At 35.2% G+C, this 22,451-nt stretch overlaps 1 protein-coding gene and 1 long non-coding RNA gene across 6 annotated transcripts in view; one reads left to right on the forward strand and one right to left on the reverse strand.

Moving 5' to 3' along the window:
• The window catches only part of LOC101927179 (uncharacterized), a 65,504-nt gene extending 48,395 nt beyond the window's left edge, over nt 1–17,109 (forward strand). For both annotated transcript variants that reach the window (NR_125880.1, NR_125881.1), the window contains exon 3: nt 16,803–17,109. This is a non-coding gene — a long non-coding RNA (uncharacterized LOC101927179). The remainder of the gene's footprint in view (nt 1–16,802) is intronic.
• Nucleotides 1–22,451, reverse strand: part of NFXL1 (nuclear transcription factor, X-box binding like 1) — a 67,435-nt gene that overhangs the window by 32,507 nt on the left and 12,477 nt on the right. For all 4 annotated transcript variants that reach the window (NR_103795.1, NM_001278623.1, NM_152995.6 and 1 more), the window contains exons 6-15: nt 19,631–19,809; nt 19,220–19,381; nt 19,018–19,118; nt 18,228–18,342; nt 16,784–16,908; nt 14,441–14,563; nt 10,874–10,964; nt 6,140–6,260; nt 5,759–5,918; nt 4,607–4,698 (exon numbers count right to left, since the gene is read on the reverse strand). Coding sequence is in view for 3 of the 4 variants with exons in the window: in NM_001278623.1 (NP_001265552.1) it covers nt 4,607–4,698; nt 5,759–5,918; nt 6,140–6,260; nt 10,874–10,964; nt 14,441–14,563; nt 16,784–16,908; nt 18,228–18,342; nt 19,018–19,118; nt 19,220–19,381; nt 19,631–19,809 (1,269 nt within the window). In the remaining variant the exon portion in view is untranslated. The remainder of the gene's footprint in view (nt 1–4,606; nt 4,699–5,758; nt 5,919–6,139; nt 6,261–10,873; nt 10,965–14,440; nt 14,564–16,783; nt 16,909–18,227; nt 18,343–19,017; nt 19,119–19,219; nt 19,382–19,630; nt 19,810–22,451) is intronic.

Below are 22,451 nucleotides of genomic sequence, written 5' to 3' on the forward strand. Positions count from 1 at the left end.
GAGAACAGAGAGACCAGAAATGGAACCACACAAATCATAGTCTACTGATCTTTGGCAAAAGAGCAAAGGTAATTGAATGAAGAAAGGAAATTCTTTTCAATAAATGATTCATGCTGGAACAAATAGACACCTGCTTGCAAAAAAAACCTAGGCAGACCCTAAGCCTTTCACAACAGTTAACTCAAAATGAATCACAGCTCTAAATGTAAAATGCAAAACTATAAAACACAGACAATCTGGGTAATTTGGGTTTAATTATGACTTTTAGATACAACACCAAAAGCACAATCCATGAAATAAAAATGGATGATAGACGTCATTATACTAAAAATTACAGCTCTGAAAAGAACATTTAGAGAATGAAAAGCCACAAAGGCTGGGTGCAGTGGCTCACACCTGTAATCCCTACACTTTAGGAGGCTGAGACAGGAGGATCACCTGAGCACAGGAGTTTCAAGCCCAGCCTGAGCAACATAATGAATCCCTGTCTCTACAAAAAATTAAAATTAAAAAAAATTAGCTGAACATAATAGTGCACGCCTAGTCCCAGGTACTAGGGGGTTGGGGGTAGAGCTGAGGTTGAAGGATCATTTGAGCCCAGGAGGTGCAGGCTGCAGTGGGCTGTGATGAAGCAACTGCACTCCTTCTCCATGAAAAGCCTGGGTGACAGAACTGAGATCCAGTCTCAAAAAAAAAAAAAAAAAAAAAAGGTTAAAAAGATAAGCCACAGACTGGCAGAAAATACTTGGAAAATGCACAGCTGGTAAAGGACTTGTCTTCAAAATATACTCAATAAGAAAGCAAATAACGCAATATAAAAATGAAAAAAAAAAGAATTTGTGGAAACTCTATGTGGAACACATGTATCAGTGCCATATTTCCTATAGCATGTGCTCACTTCATGTCTCTATGACAATTTTCATATAATTCTTGCATTATTTCAAAGTTTTTCTTTTTTATTATATCTGTTATTGTGATCCGTAATCAGCGATCTTTGATGTTACTATTGGATTCTTTTGGGGTGCCACAAACTGTGCCCATAGTAAACAGTAAACCTAATTAATGAGTAAAAAAAAAAAAAAAAAAAAAAACGCAAAAAGGAACAGGAAATTAAACACTGCATGTTAAATTAAACACTGCATGTTCTCACATGTAGAAGCTAAAAAGTTGATCTTATAGAAATAAAAAGCAGAATAGTTACAGGATGGAAAAGGTAGAGGGAGGAGGGGATAAGAGAGATTTGTTAAAAAACAAAATTACAGCTAGATAGGAAGAACAAGTTCTGGGGTTTTATAGTTATCTTACAGTGCTATAAAACTACTGTTATCTATTGTTAACTATAGATAACAATAGTTACCTATAACAATGGATATCTATAGATATAGATATCTATAACTATAGTTACAGATAACGATAGTTAACAATAATATATATTTTCAAATAGCTAGAAAAGAGGATACTGAATGTTCCCAAAACAAAGAAATGGTGTCTGAGATAATGGATACGCTAATTGCCCTGATCTGATCACTGTATATCACACTGTATGTACTGAAACAGCATTACATTTCCTATAAATATGTATAATTATTATGTATCAATTAAAAATAGAATGGCTAAAATCCAAAACACTGACAATACCACATGTTGGTGAGAATAAAGAGCAACAACAATTCTCACTCACTGTTGTGAGAATGCAAAATGATTCAGACACTTTAGTAAACTGTTTGACAGCTTCTTACAAAGCTAAACAAAGTCTTACCATGTGATCCAGCAATTACACTCCTAAGTATTTACCCAAATGAGCTGAAAACTTATGTCTACACAAAAATCTGCACATAACATAAATGTTTATAGCAGCTTTATTCTTAATTGCCAAACTTGGAAGCAACCAAAATGTTCTTCTATGGTAAATGGATAAACAAACTATGGTACCTTTATGCAATGTATTATTATTCAATGATAAAAATAAATGAGCTACCAATCCATGAGAAGACACAGAGGAACCATAAAACCATATTGCTAAGTGAAGAAGCCAGTCTGAAAATGCTATACACTGTAAAAGTCCAACTATTGACATTCTGGAAAAGGCAAAACTACAGAGATAGTAAAAAGATACATGGTTGCTAGGAGTTTGAGACGGGGAGGGGAAAAGAAGGTTGAACAGGTATAGCACAGGGCATTTTTAGGGCAGTGAAACTATTCTGTATGAAACTATAATAGTAAATACATGACATTACACATTTGTTAAAACCCACAGAACCATACAACACAGAAAGTAAATCCTAATGTAATCTGTGGACTTTAGCTAATGATAAAGTACCAATATTGGTTTCTCAACTGTAAATTGTATCACTAATGAAAGTTGGTAATAGAGAAAACTGTGGTATGGGGGCACACATAGGAACTCTCTATACTTTCTGTGCAATTTTCTCTGTAAATGTGAACACATTCTTAAAAAATAAAACCTATTTAAGAAAATAAACACATCATTTCCCTTTCCAGGGACTGGCTTAAAAATGGTCTAATGAAATGTCAAAAGAGTTCTCCTGTGGAGCTTCGGAGAAGTTTCCTTACCCTTTAAAAAAAGAAAAGAAGAAAAGGAAAAGGTGATGATGATGACACACAGAAGGCATACACATTTCCATTTCTCCCTTTGGAAACTTTCATGTCTGGGTTGAGAAGTTAACAGAAAGGCAAACAGCCTGAGGTCAAAGATGACACACTGAGGATAACAAAATGGAAAGACAATCTGAGCTCTTGATGATGTGTGACTGAATGAGCCAAATTAAACAACTATAGAGCTGTTCTACTTCCAATCTAATTATGTGAGGGATAAATGTTAATGCGCTTTTTCTTTAGGTTTTCATTTAGATTTTGTAGTTTCTACGGTACAAATCTTATATTCTTTTATTGAATTTCTTAAACAAAATGTTCTTTTCAGACTATATAAGTGGAATTGTTTTCTTAATTTCATTTTCAGATTGTTTGTTTCCAGTGTACAGAAATTCCACTGGCTTTGTATAGTGATGTTTTCTACAACAGTAATGAACTCATTAAGTAACTCTAATAGCATTTTTGAGGACTCCTTAAGACTTTTCACACACAAGATCATGTCATCTGAAAATACAAATAGTTCTTCTTTACTCCAAGTAAAAAGACATTTTTAATTTCTTTTTCTAGCCTAATTGTTCTGGCTAAAAATTCTAGTACAATCTTGAAAGAAGTGGCAGGAGCAGGCATCCTAGTCTTGTTCCTGTTATTAGGGAGAAAACTTTTAATCTTTCACCACGATGTATTAGTGAACTGTGTGGGCTTTTCACAGATGCCCTTTATCAGGTTAAGAAAATTATCTTTTCTTCCACGTTTTTTGAGTGTTTTTATCAAGAAAGTGTGTCAGATTCTGTCAAATGCTGTGCTACATCTTGAACCTGGAAAGAGAAGGTTGCAGTGAGCCGACATTGAACCACTGCACTCTAGCCTGGGTGACGGAGACTCCGTCTCAAAGAAAAAAAAACAAAAAAAAACAGACTAAGGAACTCAATGGTAATTAGGTACTTATGACCTAATTACTCAGGTAATTATGACAACATTTTCGTGCCTATGAATTATAATATCAATGTCTCTTCTGTTTCTCTCAAGGAAAAATTTTAGGCCACTAATAATTCTAACTTAGAGATATTAGCAACAACTTGGTTCCTCATGATTATAACTTAAGTCCTCAGTAAAAGAATAGTCTCAAATAACTGAATACCTACATGAAAAACCTCTCTGCTAACTACACAGCCCACCTCCATTAAATCTACAGACTAAAATTACCCTATTTGTGCATATATCTCCTAACAACACTTTGCCTCCCAACTTGACTGTGTGACCAATACACAAAAATATACATGCTATTTCAACTGGGAGGAATGTTGTGGAAATGAAAGCTTTTAGAATTAAAAAACAAAAACAATCCTCTCTTTAAAAGACCAATACACCAGAAATACCAATGTTTAATTTGGCACCTCAGTTGTAGACAACAGCCCCTTTTCTAACTTTATGTTGCTTCTCAGCATTCTGTGCTTTTTCCCCTATACTCCATAACCTCTGCTGGAAGTATAAAAAATTCCAGGATTCCGTATTACTGTAGGTTCAGCTCCTTAGAGCTCAGTCCCAGTCATTCACTGGCCCATCCAGGAAACTACTTCCTCTCATTTCCAAGGCTTCCTTTAAATATTCCCCAAGTTTGCCTTATCTAAAACCTGGCTTTCTTCTGTCTTCAGGGAGCTTACAATCCAGTATGGGAATCATCGGGAAAAGTAACAAATGATGTTCCTTGGATTTGTTTTTGTAATTGCATGCACTCGCTATGGAAAGCTAAGAAGGGCATCAAACTCCAACTGGGGGTAAAGACTCAAAAAAAGATATCTATAGTAGGTTTATATGCAAGTATGACAAACATGTTTGAAAAGAATGAAGGTTAAGACAGACACACTAGTTGATAGGCTAGGCCTGAAATAATAATGAACTGAACTAAGAAAAAAGGGAGATTGACTTCAGATACCCTTTAAGCTATGTCAAAAGTTTTTTGTTTTTTTTTTTTAATTGAAATTCTAATACTTACATAGGAATAGGAACTTGACATGGAGGACACGGTAATGCAGTCTGAATAAATGCTGGCTCAGAAGGCTGTTCCCAAGGGCCTGTAGGCTGGTGCTACAAATAAAATACATAAGAATTTTAAGTCAGAGGGATTAAATCATATGGCCATTTTAAGAATCTAAGAAAATAGTTCCATGTATCCTCTGCTCAAGCAGGTTGAAATTTTTTCAAATAATCAATAAATTGTGCTTACTGAAATATTTCATTTTATCTGTATTAAATGAAATTGTTCCTCTCCACAGACATTTGATATTAATAACTGAGACAGAATCCAGTTTATAAATGGTAGAACAAAGGCAGTGTAGCCTCCTTTACTTCCAATAAGGAAATGAGAAAAACAATTGGAAACTCCAACATCTAGCAATTGAATATAATCTCCATCATTTTACTCACTGTTGTTCCTCAGCACCTAAAAAAAAGCTTGATATTTAGTAAGGGCTCAATAAATGTTCATGAGGCTGGGCTGGACGTGGTGCCTCACACCTGTAATCCCAGCACTTTGGGAGGCGGAGGCGGGCAGATCACTTGAGGTCAGGAGTTCGAGACCAGCCTGATCAACAAGCTGAAACCCCATCTCTACTAAAACTACAAAAATTAGCTGGGCATGGTAGCAGGCACCTATAATCCCAGCTACTCAGGAGGCTAAGGCACGAGAGTCACTGAACCCGGGAGGTGGAGGTTGCAGTGACCCAGATCACACCACTGCACTCCAGCCTGGGCAACAGAGTGAGACTCCGTCTCAAAAAAAAAAAAAATTAAATAACTAAAAATAAATAAATATTAAATAAAATATTAAAAAGTGAATAAATCTTTAAAATAAGATTATAGGAGATATCTATAACCCTAAACCACAATATATGAAGGAGGACTGCCAAATTCACCTGTATCATGATCATAATGTAACTATCACACTGTATTTGCAAACAATGGTTTCACTCCTTTCCTACACTGTGAGTTGCTTAAAACAAAATCAAGTCTTGATTACCTTGTACCCTGCTCCAAGCACAGTGCTTCCCAATAAGTGCTTAATCATTGCTCATTGAAAAACTAAGTAAAAGCAAGAAAGTACAACCCACAGCAATGCACTATTTCTCTAATAGTATTATTCCCTTACCCTGCCAGTCTGCTTTATTAATGCTTGATCATGACACGGAGCAGGACACAAGTGACCACATTTCTCCAAAACTTTTTGGCAAGGTTGATGACATGGTGGACAAGAACCAAAGTGACAGCGATGTTTTTCTTGACTTGTATGATGACAAGTTGGTGGTCGACTAAATCATAAAGTACAATTTTCAAAAATTACTTTTAGTCATTGAATAATTACATCTAAAGGACAATTATCTATTTACATATCTTCTGATTCCATATAGAATGAGTATACTGTGAATATTAATATTTTAAAACACTAAAGCAAAATTAAATTATTAAAAGCCAATATGAATTTAAATTTGTACAACATCAGATGGAAGCTTGTGCAAAGCTTCAAACTCACCTGCATTGCTCCTTGCACTTGGGTGGTCTTGTGGTACGTTCTCGGCCACAGGGCACTGTCACCTTTGTATTGCCACAATTACACTTCACATCTACGGTTTCTGGGCAGGGATAGCAACTGCCTGAAAAAAAAGTCTGACAATTAAAAAGTTTCCTTAACTACCCAAATGCCTATTAATGGTAAAATACATAAATTTAGTATATTCACACAATGGGATACTCTACAACAAGAATGAAGAAACTACAACAACATGAATGAATCTTACCACAAAACATTGAGCCAGACACAAGGAGTACATAGTGCATGATTCCATTTATATAAAGTAAACAAGAAAAAATGTACTGTTCAAAATCAGAGTGATAGCTATGAAGGATGCAAGGAAGGTGTTGAAAATTTTGGTCATGTTCTGTTTAATGATGTAAGTTTTGGTTACCTGGCTATGTTCAGTTTGTAAAAATTCAACAAGCTGTATACTTTTTATTTGTAATACTTTTCTCTTTTTTTTTTTGTAACAGGGTCTCAACCTGTTGCTCAAGCTGAGTGCTGTTGCATGATCACAGCTCAGTGCAGCCTCAACTTTCTGGGCTCAAGCAATCCTCCCACGTCAGCCTTCCAAGTAGCTGGGACTACAGACACACACCACCATGCCCAGCTAATTTTTGATTATTTATAGAGATGGAGGGGTCTCACTATGTCATCCAGGCTGGTCTCAAACTCCTGGACTCAAGCAATCTTCCCACCTCAGCTTCCCAAATGCTGGGTGTACAGGCGTGAGCCACTGCACCCAGCCTCTGATTTATAACACTTTTTTCTCTGTACACTGGTACCTCATAAAGTTTTAGACATTTCTCTAAAATGTGCTAAAACTTCTGTTCTAAATAACAAATTTAACACATTACTCATTCAAAACTAAAACAAGCAAAAATGGATTTAAGTCTTTGGAAAATTTAACATTAACAATAATATCGTTGGCCTACTTTCATACATCTATCCAAGTACACAATTTTTAGATGAATTCCCAATAACTTCTTTCTCATGACCTGATATTGGTTAGTAGCAAGCACAGTCAATTTTCCATTAATTGTGCTTTGTGAAAGACTAAGTACTAAGCCACCATTTTAGGATATAATCCCAAATATTTCTCTTCTAAACATAAAAAAAAATGTTATTTTGGTTTCAGCTTTTTACGCTCTTTTGTTATGGGTTGGCAAAAATATAAAAAAACAAAATCAAAGAAATCTTTAAAGCAGGCTATAAAGTTCGCTCCAAGAGGTTCTGTCATCATCTTAAGGGCTTTCTTCCACTCTAGTTTTCCCAGTAAGGAACTCTATCAGAAATGAAATAATAAAGGAAGAAGAGTTTTCAATGAAGAAATGAATATCTTAAAGAGACTGTTGCCTAGGTGTCAGGACCAAGCAAAACATGGACCGGGAGTTAACCTGATAAAAAAAAGATTAAAGATGGACAATATCCTGGCTTAAGTGCCTCTAGAAGTTCAAAATAGTTCCCTAAAACAAACACAAATTAAGAATTATAATTCAAATAATGAACACAGAAAAAGAGAAGATTAGAGGTAAAACATCGTAGGGTCAAACATAACATTTATTATACAAAACACCAAATGTGTTTTGACACATATATTCTTGATGTTAATGCAAGTCAAGTTATCCTAACCCACATATCAAGTTTTATTTTTATTTTACCTAAAGAATGACTACAAGTTGTATTTTTAAAGTTGATAGTGATATTTAAGTCGGTTCTCATTCGGCATATTATATCTGTTTCTATACTTAACAATGACAATTTTTCATTCATCTTCAGCAGAGGAACCTTTTTGTTATCAAACGTAACCTTTTTGTTATTCTAAACAACAGTATCACATTTAAATTACATCTTGAAAATAAGGGACAATTTCTCTAAACAGTCTCCCTACTGACCAACAGAATTTATTATAATTAAAAGAGCTTCCATAATACTTTCAAAATGAAGAAATAGCATAGGGAGACTATAACTATACTGACCAATACCAGTTAATAGCCAAAATAGGCATGATTCGGGTAGTTCTAAAACTATAAACACAGATGATCCTGAATTTAAAAAAAAAAACTATAAATCGGCTGGGCGCTGTGGCTCATGCCTGTAATCCCAGCACTTTGGGAGGCCGAAGCAGGCAGATCACGAGGTCAGGAGATCGAGACCATCCTAGCCAACATGGTGAAACCCCGGCTCTACTAAAAATACAAAAATTAGCTGGACATGGTGGCATATGCCTGTGATGCCAGCTGCTCGGGAGGCTGAGGCAGGAGAATCACCTGAAATGGGGAGTCAGAGGTTGCAGTGAGCCGGGATTGCGCCACTGCACTCCAGCCTGGTGACAGAGAGAGACTCCGTCTCAAAGAACAAAACAAAACTATAAATCAAATTTTCACATACCCACAACACAAACATGCAGTTAGTATATTCCCCCTATAAATTACTGTATAATTCTGATTATGAAGGATTCTAGAATGATGGAAAAATGGTATGAAATTATGATTCCACATTCTTTTATAACTGTAGATGAAACAAATATTGACAGTTGCACAACAGCATCTTCCACATACTTTACATCAAGGAAAATTTTGTTGTGACTAATAAGCTTTTCTAAGGATTAATAGAAATCTATAAAAACAAAACAAACAAAAAAACACCACTCTACCAAAAAATATCAAAACCTGAATCTGATCAAACCTCTAGATCCAATTAACAGGTTATCAAAAATATAGAGGACAGAGGAACATGTTAAATAATACCACAGAGATGCAATCTGCAAAACTCAGACTCTGAGAAACTAAATAAAGCAACCTAGTTTCTTCAACAAATAAGTCATAAGGGGAAAAAAGGAGATAGAGGATGGAAATTATAAATTAAAAGACTTTAGAGACAAAACCAATTACAACATGTCAATTTTATTAGGTTTTTGAGTCTATAAACTGATGTAAAAAATGAAGTTACTTATGAGACAACAAGAAATTTGAAAACCAGATGTTTGCTGATATGAAGAAATATGTTAACTACATTTAGGTTAAGAATCCATCTTTTAGAGACAAATACTGAAATATTTATGGGCTTTGCTTCACAAAAATATGAGACAGGGAAATGCTTCCAACACTTCTCCAGTAAGTATGATATTTGCTCTAAACTTTTTGCAGATACTCTTTATCAGGTTAAGGATATGTCTATTTCCAATTAAATTTTTATCTTATATAGATGTTAGACATTTATCAAGATGATCTCATTCCTCCTTTGGTCTTTTAATGTGGTAAATTACATAATATTAGATTTACTACTGTTAAACCAGTTATATCACAGAGATGTAGTTTGCAAAAATCTGCAAAAACTCAATGGGTCAGTGATGTAATGACTATAAAAGAAAATAAAATCTTTCTAGTGTTGGTGAGAGCATACCTGAAAAACTATTTCTAAACTTCACTGACAAATCAAAGAACACCTACAGGAAATGTCTACAGGGTAAATAGAATCTGACACTTTTCCTAATGGGGAAGGAATGTAGTATAATGGAAATAACATAAACACTGGGTTCACATCCTGACTCTGCGACTAGTTCTATTAACCTTGGGCCAATAGTCTCCCGGCCTGTTCCACATATCCCTATATGCTGCAGGATTTCTGAAAGGATAGGGAGATCAACTGAGAAACAGTTCAGTAGTTTGTTCTAGGTATTAAACTACTAAATGGCAGAGTCTAGGCTTAAATCCAGGATTTCTTACTCTAAGTCCACGATCTTTCCAATACTGTATACCATATCTCAGTAGATTCCATTTCATATCAACATAATCCAAATGAGTGAAGTTAACTCAGTTTTTAATGTCTAGTAATAACTTATAACATAATTCTCAAAGTATAGTCCAGGAACCCTAGTGGTTCTTGAGACCCTTTCAGGAGGTCTGCAAGGTCTCACATGCATAGTTTTCCAGAAGCTAGTGAAAAGTGATGTCCATAGCAGACTGAATACAGAAGCATATATGTGAATCCGGCTATTTTCTGTTAAGCTAGACATTAAAGACATTTGTAAAAATGTAAAATTTTCTACTTTTTTCAGAAAATAGTTATTTTTCATAAAACATTATTTGTATTAAGATATAATGGGTTTATTACTGCTATTTTTAAAAAATAATAAATATTATTACATTTTATTTTAATTTCAAATACAATAAATGTCAATGAATAAAACTCACATTAACAAAAGCCCTTTGGGGACCAAAGGATTGTAAAGGGGTCATGACATCAAAATGTTTAAAAATCACCAGCTTCGGACATATCTAATCCTTTACTAGATTTAACTACAAATAAGTATATAAAATTCAGAATAAATAAGGTGTTCAAAATGCTATGAACACCTTCATTGATTAAAAAATTATGTGGGGAAAGTCAGGAAGTGGGAAAACAATATGGTGTTATAGAAAGGACAATACTTTTATATACAGAAATCCTGGGTTCAAATGTACTAGACATTTCCCTGAGTAAGTTACTGAACCCTCTTAAGCTTCAACCTCTTTGCCTATAAAATAGAGACACTGGCAAACTGCCTTACCTTCTTCTCCAGGTTAAGAGAGTCAAGTGAGATAATGACTATAAAACGCTATTTCAATACATTATATTGAATATTGACAATGAAAAAAAAAACCACTACATCACTACAAACATAAAATCATAGCTATTATTAAAGTTTACCTCTGTGACAGACAGATGGACACTTATGGTTTCTACATCCTAAAGTCCGTCCACAGTTTTGATCACAAGGTGGACAGTTTCCAGGGCAACACTGAAGAGAAAGCAATATATAAAGAACAGGTAATTCAAAAACCCATGAATAATAGGCATGTCATTACTAGTTACAGAACTTATGGAAAGCAAAAGATACACTTTTCACTAAAAGAAGTATTCAAGAATATCAACATTCTTCTGGTAAGTAAACATACTTCACTAAGAACTTATGATGACCTAATTTAACAAATCAAGCTAAATTTTCCTGACTTTCAGTTAATTATTCTATGATTCAAAACATTTCCATCAGATAATTTCATTCCTTTATCTATGCAGAGACTAACAACATTAACCAAAGGAATGTCAATTCAGGAAAACAATTAGTCTGGTTTTTAAAAAAAATTTAATTAAAATCAAATTCAACGTATAGATTCATTTGGCAGTTATTTATTTTCTTTTTCTTTTTTTCTTTTTTTTTTTTTTCTTGAGACAGAGTCTGGCTCTGTCTCAGGTTAGAGTGTAATGGCACAGTCTTGACTGACTGCAACCTCCACCTCCCAGGCTCAAGCCATCCTCACACCTCAGCCTTCTGAGTACCTAGTTCTACATGCTCTCCCCACCACACCTCAGTAGTTTGTGTATTTTTGGTAGAGATGGAGTTTTGCCATGTTGCCCAGGCTGCTCTCAAACTCCTGAGCTCAAGCGATCTGCCTGCCTTGGCCTCCCAAAGTACTTGGATTATAGACATAAGCCACTGCTCCTGGCTTCGTTTGGCAGTTATTTTCAAACCATAGATTAAGAGATTAAAGAAGAGAAGCAGAGATAGGCTACTTGCATCCAGCTTTCTTTGTCACTTCCCTGGTTTCACAGACACTTCCGTGTCTGTGAGAAATATAGCTATCTATGACCTGTCCTAATTTTTCAATCATGGACACCAGTCAACTACTTCAAGTCTATATTGCCATCTTAACTCTTTCCTTAACTTCTTACTTACCTAACTTTGGAAAGGAAATACAGACTACAATTGTCTTAAAGAAACTTAGGGTTGTATATAAGAGTAAGTTTCATTATATAAAAATAGCTAAAAACAAAATGTACATTATTAAAAAGCAATTAAGTCAATACAGTTTATTCTCAAAAATTAGCCAGGCATGGTAGTGCGTGCCTGTAGTCCCAGCTACTTGCGGAGGCTGAGGCAGGAGAATTGCTTGAACATGGGAGGCAGAGGTTGCAGTGAGCCGAGATCACACCACTGCACTCCAGCCTGGACGATAGAGTAAGACTCCGTCTCAAAAAAAAAAAAAGAGGCAATATAGTTTATTCAATTAGACAAGTGTTTATTGAGTAATACTATGTGCCTATCCTATCACTTTGCCAGTGGGGGAAAAGATTATGTGGTCCATGACTTGAATAAGCCAATAGACACTTCTGTTTTGAGTTATGATGGAGTAACAACAACCAGATTTACACTCCTGTCTCAAACCACTAGAAAACCACATAAAAGATATGAAGCTACAGTTTTCAGGTATTAGATAATGAGGCAGCACAGATGGCAGTCCCTAACAGAAGGGAAACAAACTAGGTAAGTCTTGCAATGCTATCAGCTTACACATGAAGACTTCTGGCTATAGCACAAGGAGGAAGATCATAAGCAGAATCTGGCTGTCTCATAAAGTTGAGTAGGCAAAATTCGTAGTTCAGAGAGGCCAGTGTGGCTAGAATTTGTGCAGAGAAGGCAGCAGTACAGAAAAAGCTCTGAAGAACTCCAGAAAGAACTTCTTGGGTCTTTGGCTGAGTACTGGTCTGTATGTGTGTGAGAGGAAACAATCCAAAAGCTGAGAAAGAACCACTGGAAGGAGAAGGCAGAATAATTTCAAGAGATCACACAAGGCTGGGAAAAAGTCTGTGTTCCTTACAGCCAGAATAGAAGGACCTTCTAATACCTGGGCATCAAGTAGAGTACTTAGAAGACTTACTGCCTCAGTAATGGGGCCAAATTAGCCCTAAACAAAAGAGTGTTCCGGTCACACTTAAAAATATCAAGCCTCTGAAAGAACAAACAGTTTTTGAGTAACTTAACTTTGCCCCAGAATAAGGCTTAAAAATATTTAAAGAAATACAAATAAACAAACAAAAAGAACCAGCACCCAAAAATGTAAAGTTCATGTCTAGTAACAATCAAAAATCATCTAGCAGACAAAGAAGCAGGAAAACATAACCCCAAAAAAGCAGAAAAGTCAATAAACAGAAACAGACTCAGAAATGAGAGATGACAGAATTAGTACACAGGGATATTAAAACAGACATTACAAATATAGCCTATCTCACATTCAAGTAGATAGAGGAAGCATGAACATGCTAAGGAGAAACACGGAAGATATAAAAAAGACCCAAATCCAACTTCTAGAGATGAAAATACACAACTTCTCAGATGAAAAACACAGGATGGGATAAAAAGCAGATTAGACAATGCAGAAGAAAATTAGCAATGTTGAAGACAAAACTATATAAACTAAAACAGAAACAGACTGAAAAATAAATAGTATCAGTGAACTTGGAAATTCAAGCAGCATATAACATACATGTCCTTAAAGTCTCAGAAGGTGACGGGTAGGGGAAAACAGAAAAAAAAATCTGAAGAAATAAAAAACAAAAATTTCACAAATATAATAAAAACTATAAACCTACAGATCTAAGCAGCTCGATGAAAACTAGGTTAAGAAACATAAAGAACACCATACCAAGGAACACCAGAAACAAACTGCTGTAAACTGGTGATAAAGAGAAAGATCTTAATAACCAGACAGAAAAAAAGAGAAACAATCAGTACAGAGGAACAGATACAACAATCACAGCATACTACTTATTGGAAAAAATGCAAGCTAAAAGATAGTAGAGCAATACCTTTTAAGTATGGGGGTTAAAAACTGCCAAACTAGAACTCTAAAGTAAAAATATTTTTCACAAAGACTAAAGCAAGGTATATTCAGACATACAAAGTTGAAAGAATTCATGGCCAGCACTACTAGGAATGTTAAAGGAAATCCTTCAGAATAGAAAAAAAAAAATGAAATGTGATGGAAATGTGAATCTATACAAAAAGATGAAAAGCACCTAAGTAAGTATGATGATAAATATCAAAAATTACTTTTTCTTATTTTTTCAAGCTCTTTAAAAGATAACTGATTATTTAAAGCAAAAGTAAAGACAATGTATTTGGGGTTTATAAAATACACAAATATAAAATGTATGAAAATCATACATTTCAGTGATCAGAAATAGTGATCAGAAATATCAAGCTGAGAGGACAATGCACAGGACAAGAAACTATTCTCATTTGAAAAAATTGGTACAATTCCCACTAGTACAAAAATTACCTAGATTAAGCTTAATCTAGAATATTTATTAATATATTAAAGGAAAGCATATGCCTGAACATTTGAGAAACAATTCAAGACAGCACTTATTTGGGCCCAAAATGGAGAAATTCAATATAGTCTTTAAATCAGAGGTTTCCAAGGTTAATACACAAACCTTTCTTCTACATTGATGCTTCTGACAGTCACGCATCTTAACACACTTAGTTTCACACAGATAAGGTTTATGACAAGGCATTCGTTTTGTATGCTTTCCACAGCGACAATGCTTTTCCACTTCCTGGAAGAATAAAAGAAATGCTATTAAAATTGATTTTTGTTAATATTTTTTCCTCACATTGCAACTTCTACAATTATTAAAACATAATGAACAAAAATTTTAACACTAAATTTGTATAACAAACTTTACCAAAAACCAATTTGAATTTCCTAAAACATTTGCTTATATCTTACTTTGTTCCAAAAAGGACTTCATATAAATTTGTTATTAAATTCAGAAAACTGATATTGAATAGTTAAAAAAAAAAAAAATCACATAATAAAACCACTTACATTTCATTACAACCATAACATCTGCAACTCTTGTCTCAGTAAAGCCAAAAAAACTAGATTATCTAGTAAGCTAACTTGTGGACTTGGTACTGTGGTCAAAACCAGAATGACACATACAACTTTAAAGTCTCAAGTCTAGGCCTCTACTGAAGTCTTGAACACTCGAAGTCACCCATGAGGGCTGGGATCAACTTCTTATGAACTCCAGTTAATGTTGATATTTTGACCTACTCTCGTTATAATGAATGTTCTGAATGGCATCTAAAATGAGGAATCCTTTCCAGAAGGTTTTCAATTTACATTGCCAAGATTCATCAGAGGAATCACTATCTACGGCAGCTACAGCCTTAGGAAATGTATTTCTTAAAAAATAGAACTTGAAAGTCAAAATTATTCCTTGATCCATGGGCTGCAGAATGGATATTGTGTTGGCAGACATGGCATAAAAACATTCATCTTTTGTACACCTCAATCAGAGCTCTTGGGTGACCACGTGCATTGTCAATGAGCAGTAATATTTTGAAAGGAATATTTCCTGATCAGTCAGTCTCAAGAGTGGGCTTATAACCATGCCATAAAGATGTGCTGTCCATAGATGTGCTGTCATCTAGGCTTTGTTGTTCCATTTGCAGAGCATAGGCAGACTAGATTTAGCAAAATTCAAAAGATCCCTAGGATTTTTGAAATGGTAAATGAGCACTGGCTTCGATTTAAAGTCATCAGCTACATTAGCCCTTAAGAAGAAAGTCAGCCTATTCTTTGACGGTTTGAAGCTTTAACTGTGAAAGTCCTATATTGTATCTTCTTCCAGTAGAAGGCTATTTCATCTCAGTTGAAAATCTTTTGTTCAATATAGCCACCTTCATCAATTACCTTAGCTAGATCATCTGGATAACCCGACAGCTTCTACATCAACACTTGCTGTTTCACCTCGCACCTTTATATTATGAAGAGGGCTTCCTTCCTTAAACTTCATGAACCAACCTCTGCTAGTTTCAAACTTTTCTTGTGCAGCTTCCTCACCTCTCTCAGCCTTCACAGAATTGAAGTTAGGGCCTTGCTTTGGAGTATTTGGTTTAAGGTAATATTATAGTTACTTTGATCTTGTTTGCAGACCTCTAAATCTTCCTCCTTATCATCAATAAGGCTGTTTCACTTTCTTAACATTCCTGTATTCACTGCAGTAGCAATTTTAATTTCCTTCAGGAACTTTTCCTTTGCATTCACAACATGGCTAATTGATGCAAGAGAACTTTCAGCCTATTTCAGCTTTCAACTTGCCTTCCTCACTAGCTTAATCATCTCTAGCTTTTGATTTAAATGAGAAATGTGTGACTCTTCCTTTCACTTGAACATTTACAAAAGCCATTGTAGAGTTATCAATTGGCCTAATTTCAATATTGTTGTCTCTCAGGGAATAGGAAGGCCCAAGGAGAGGGAAAGAGAATGGGGAACGACTGGTCAGTAGAGCAGTCAGAACACACGCACAACATTTAACCATTAAAGTCACTGTCTAATAGAGGCATGGTTTGTGGCACCCCCAAACAATCACAATAGTAACATCAAAGATCACTGATCACAGGTTATCAAAACAGATATAATGATAATGAAAAAGTCTGAAATAGTGCAAGAATTACCAAATGTGACAGATACATGAGCACATACTGTTGGAAAAATGGAGCTGAAAGACTTGTTTTACAAAGGCTTACCATAAACCTTCAATTTATTAAAAACGCAGTATTGGCAAAGCACAATAAAGTGAAATGCAATAAAACGTGGTATGCCTGTATTCTCCTGCTTCTTATCCTAATATTAGGTCACTAAATTCATATACATCATGACACAGATGTATATGAAAATAAGTAATAGAAAACAACCACAGGACAATCTCATTTGATACATTATGATAGGTAGCTCTTAAAAGTAATTATTACAGGAGATGACTAACTTGTCTACATGTTTCACAGGGACCTCGGTGACAACGCTGTGAACATCTATGGATTCCGCATTCAAGTACTTTGTCACAACTGTCTCCACAAGTTGGTACATCTTCTGTACAAGGCAAAGAAAACTCTAAAAACATACAAAAAGTCAATGTTAATAATGAGACATTATTATTAAACATCAACAAAGTGCCATGTTCTTCAGGCTCCCTAAGGAATGCTAGCACTTTCAGACTATAAATTTTTGTATCCACATAATCATTGGGAAAAATTAACTTTAATGAAAATAATCCCTAATATTTGTGAAGTTTATGGTTTTTAAAAAGAAATTTGACACAAGTTACTATCCTCAAGAAACACATTTTTATGGGCTATCTACTTCAGAAATAGTTATCTAAAGAAATGAGTAAAGACTACATAAACCATTCATGAATTTTCCTAATGTAAAAATTTGTTTTAAAAAACTTGCTCTGAACTACCCCACAAAGACAAAAAGAAAGGTTTAGTCTTTAAAACACCACCTGGCTGACACTTATAATCTCAGCACTTTGGGAGGCCGAGACAGGAGGATTACTTGAGGCCAGGAGTTCGAGGCCAGCCTGGGAAACATAGGGAGAGCCCATCTCTACAAAAAATTTTTTTAAATGAGCCAGGCATGGTGACAGGTGCCTGTATTCCCAGCTACTGAGACGGCTGAGGCAGGAGGATCACTTGAGCCCAGGAGTCTGAGGCTGCAGTGAGCTAGGATCACACCACTGCACTCCAGCCTGGGCGACAGGATAAAACCACCTCTCTTAAAAAACTGTAACAACTACAAAATTATAAAATTCACCTGTAACATAAACATATTGTGACAAGTATTAGAAGTAGTCTTATACATATGATGCTGTTATTTGTGGAGAGTCAAAAAAGCTTACTCAAAGTGCCATCCTACTATGCCTTTATCTCAAAGCAGCCTAAAATAAACTCACCTATAACCTATTACATAATAATGACAATAGCACAGCCTCCCCTATTGTCAAACCCCACCAGACTGGTACATTTGTTATAACTGATGTACTTACATTGACACATCATAATCACCCAAAGGTCATAGTTTATATAAAGGTTCACTCATGGTGTTGTATATTTTATAGGTTTGGACAAATGTATAATGACATATATCCACCATTATAGTATCACACGGAGGAGTTTCCCTGCCCTGAAAATCTTCTATGTCTCTCCTATTCATCTCTCTCTCTCTCCCCAACCCCTGGATGCCATTGATCACCACAGTTTGGACCTTTCCAGAATGTCATATAGTTGGGGGCTTAAATTTTGTAGCTTTTTCAGACTGGCTTCTTTCATTTAGTAATATGCACTTAAGTTTCCTGGAGGACGTCTTTTGAATGTCTTTTCATGGCTTGACAGATCATTTCCTATATAAATATAAAAAAAAACAAGTCTTACTTGATTTCTGACATGGACAGAACCTTTTCCCAGATCGAGGACATTCTCCACAAGCACCAACATGGCAAACTTGCTCACATGTGTGATTACCACATGGCAGTGTTTTTCCACATACCTAAAATAAAATGCAATAAACACTAATGAAGGATTTAAAAGTTAACAAAAAAAGACTTCATACAAGACACAATCCATTTTTCAATCACAAATAAACAACTGCTTTACGTCCCTCATATTATTTTACTTTATATTTTATACAGGTGTCATACATATGTATATATAGATACATATATACATATGTATACACACACATATATTTCCTATGCACCAAAAAGTATATTTTAAAAGTACAATACAGAAAAAAACTACATGCAGCTCCATATGGCCATTCACCAAGGAGTTCTAAGTGGCATTAAAACCATGCCAATTCTAGGACAAGCAACCTATAAAATCAATCTTACTTCCTCAATTGGATTAATTCAAGAAGCAGGGAGGCGTGCTGGTTGAAGAGAGGGGAAAGAGAAGAAGGGGACAAGAGCTAGCAAGAAAGAGTACAAATGTAGTGAATCCAAAACTCAACAAATAGCTGTTACTTTGAAAAAAATTTTTCCTCTAATAATTAAAAATGATATTAAATTTAAAAGTAGTTTCTTAAAACATGATATAATTCATCTGAGTTGCTATTCTTCCTTGCCTTTTATCCAACTAAACCTGATTAGCCTTGCTGCTTTCTAGGTTGTCTATGCTTTCTGTACTCTTTAATACCCACCCCTCAAAATGCATATAAACTTACTTGATCACAGTGCCATAGTGGACTTGCACAACTTCTTTCAGCTACTTTTTTGCCACAGACACACTTTTGTCTACTAACTCTTGGACAAGGCTGACAGCTTCCTAAAACCAGAATGATAAATTAGCACAGAAACATAAAAGCAATAAAGATTGCTTTGACTTTTGCTTAAAGTCAGAAAAATCTAATGGGTATGGCCTTTTACCTGCATGACAAGGATTTTCACACTTATGTTGCCCACAAAGCAACTTCTGTCCACATGGCAGCTGACAAGACCATTCCTTGGCACTGCACCTACGAGGGATAGGTTTTGCTTTCTTACAGTAACAAGTAGTTGTGACCATCTTTGGACAAGGAGGGCAGGGACCTAGAATTCAGTAAAAGCAAAAAAAAAAAAAAAAAAAAAATCTAAAGTCAGAAACTAAAACTTTCAATTTCTACACCTATCAATAATTTCTAGAACTTTCTTTACTGACACTTTACAAAAGGCAATAACTTTCAATATTTTCTCATGGCAAACTAAACTGTGAATTCAACTTTTACAATTTTTTTTTTTGCCTCAATATAAGAAGAAATAATCACCCACAAACAATTTAAAATGCAATATATAACTCACCTGGATGACAGAGGAGTAAACATTTATGGCCACAAGGAGGTTTAAATTCACGCTCACATACTTGGCCACATGAATGAGGCACAAGCCACGGATCTAAAGGTGGATCTTCTACTTTTCCACAATAGCAATAGTACCTACTAGGTGTTTCAGATCGTTTGTATTCAAACCTACATTTTGGACTACAAAGAAGAAGAAAATTATTAAAGCTAACTTCACCTTTAAAAGCAACATGAGAGACAGAAATATACTTAACAGAGTATATTCTGTTAAATTAGTTTTATGTTAAGGAACTCTGCTCCATCTTTGTGTTAGTGAAAAAACAAGATCTTATTAAAATCTATTTCAACCATATAAAACAGCACTGCACAATACAATGTGCTGAGATGATGGAACAGTTTTATACTGGGATTGTCCAATACAGTAGCAATTAGCCACATACTGTGAGCACTTGAAACGTGGCTAGTGCTTACAACTGAGGAAGGAATCAAATTTCTTATAATTTCTAAATACTGAAACAGCTACATGTGGCTAGTTACCATGAATTAAACAGCACATATCTAGAATACAGCTACAAAAAGAAAGTAACATTAGTTTTCTACTAACCACCTGAACTTTATTGAGGAATTCACTCTGCTTTTCACAAAGCTCAACTTTTTAAGTTTTGTTTTGTGGTTTACAAATAAACAAAATATATTAGCAACAACAAACAGAAGAGAGAAGTCAGGGTATAGACATGCAATACCGCAAGAAACATGACTACAATTTAGAATTAAGGGGGAATAAACTTGAAAATAAAGAATTTCATAATTCTCAACATCTAGCACAAAAAGACATATAATTCTTTTTTTTTTCTTTTTTGAGAAAAAGTCTCACTCTGTCACCCAGGCTGGAGTATAGTGGCGCAATCTCGGCTCACTGCAACCTCTGCCTCCTAGGTACAAGAAATTCTCGTGCCTCAGTGTCCCAAGTAGCTGCGAATACAGGTGCACGCCACCACGTCCAGCTAATTTTTTGTATTTTTAGTAGATCCGGGGTTTTGCCATGTTGGCCAGGCTGGTCTTAACTCCTGACCTCAAGTGATTCACCAGCCTTGGCCTCCCAAAGTGCTGGGATTACAGGCGTGAGCCACTGTGCCCAGCCCAAAAAAAGATATAATTCGAATGTGCCTAAGTCAAAGAAAAGTTCAAATACCATGAAAGACTTTAAACTTCCATCATTAAAATACATAAGTGTTGGCAGTAGAAGTGTTAACCTTCAGCTCTATCAAAAATATACTTGTAGATCATCATAGATCAGTTCATTCTCAAAAGATGCTCTAACCTTAACTCCCAAATGAGTATAGTTAGTATATTATGCTAGAACAAGTTTCATATTAACATTTAAATTTCTTTTGTATCATATACAAAATATTTTCATTGTCACGAGAACATGTTCTGTTTCCAAATAAATGCCACATAAATACTCAAAATAACCAAAAGATATTTGTTCTTGTAATGAAAAATCAAAAACAAAATACTAAGTTCATCTGTCTGTGGAATAAGTAACTGGCGCTTTGTTGGAAGAGTTCAATTTTTTTTTATTAAAAGAAAAAGCTAGTGTGGAGGGGGATATGTATTTTTAATAAGCGTGGGTATGGATGACTAATAGGCAACTCAACATACCTTAACACTGCCCATCAGCATTGAAACTGAACTGGCCCAGTGAGGGTAATATGTGCAAACGCATGAGTTTTATTTTAAATAATGGGATGCCAACAATGAAATGTAATTATGCTAGATCTTCTTCATTAAAAAGCAGTATCTTAGTAGAAACCTATATTTTAAATTTTTTATTTCCATAAAATAACTTAAAATTATTAACATTTTACCAAGTTCTAGCTCCATCTTGATGAGGATTAAACAAAATGGGTTCTTAACCAGAATGGTCATTTATTTTCTTAAAAAAATATGAAATATGGAATGCAAAGTATATGGCACAGCTGATTAAACTGTTGTTCCTTTTAAATTAGAAGTTAACAGTACATTTTTTTTAACTGATCCTTTCCTCCTCTGTGGCAAAACGACTACTTAAAACAGAAGTGAGAAGAGCGAGGGTAAAAAAATATATACATAAGGTTTAAATCTCTAAACTAAAACCTGGCTTAATTCCGTACCTATTAGACACTAAAATTCCTCCACCACCAGTAAATAATATGCAGGAGCAAAACAAATATACTTTGAAATGTTAAACAGTTTCCAAAAAGTGTGTATTCAATGAAAAGAAAAATAATATTTCTAAAAGCCAGGTCATAAGAGATAACTCAGGTGGAAGAATAGAAAAAGCACTGAATTTAAAAGTAAGAAATCCTAGGTTTCAAATTTTGGCTCCACTACTTAAGAGTGAGGAGTCAGAAGTCATTTCCCTTCAATTAACTTCAATATCCCCACTGGTAACAGGAGAATAAAATCTCTCACAGATTGCTGAGAATTATTTTTACATACTCTTCTAAAAGTAACTAGCACATCTAAATGTTTTTAAAAACTACACCACTGGCCAGACGCAGTGGCTCATGCCTGTAATCTCAGCACTTTGAGGGGCCAAGGTGGGTGGATCACTTGAGGCCAGAAGTTCAAGACCAGCCTGGCCAACATGGTGAAACCCCATCTCTACTAAAAATACAAAACTTAGCCAGGCATGGTGGCAGGCACCTGTAATCCCACCTACTCTGGAGGCTGAGACGGGAGAATCGCTTGAACCCGACAAGCAGTGGCTACAGCGAGCCAAGAGCGCACCACTGCACTCCAGCCTGGGCAATACAGCAAAACTCTGTCTCAAAAAAAAT

This window comes from Homo sapiens, chromosome 4, assembly GCF_000001405.40.
Source record: "Homo sapiens chromosome 4, GRCh38.p14 Primary Assembly".
NCBI classification, from domain to species: Eukaryota; Metazoa; Chordata; class Mammalia; order Primates; family Hominidae; genus Homo; species Homo sapiens.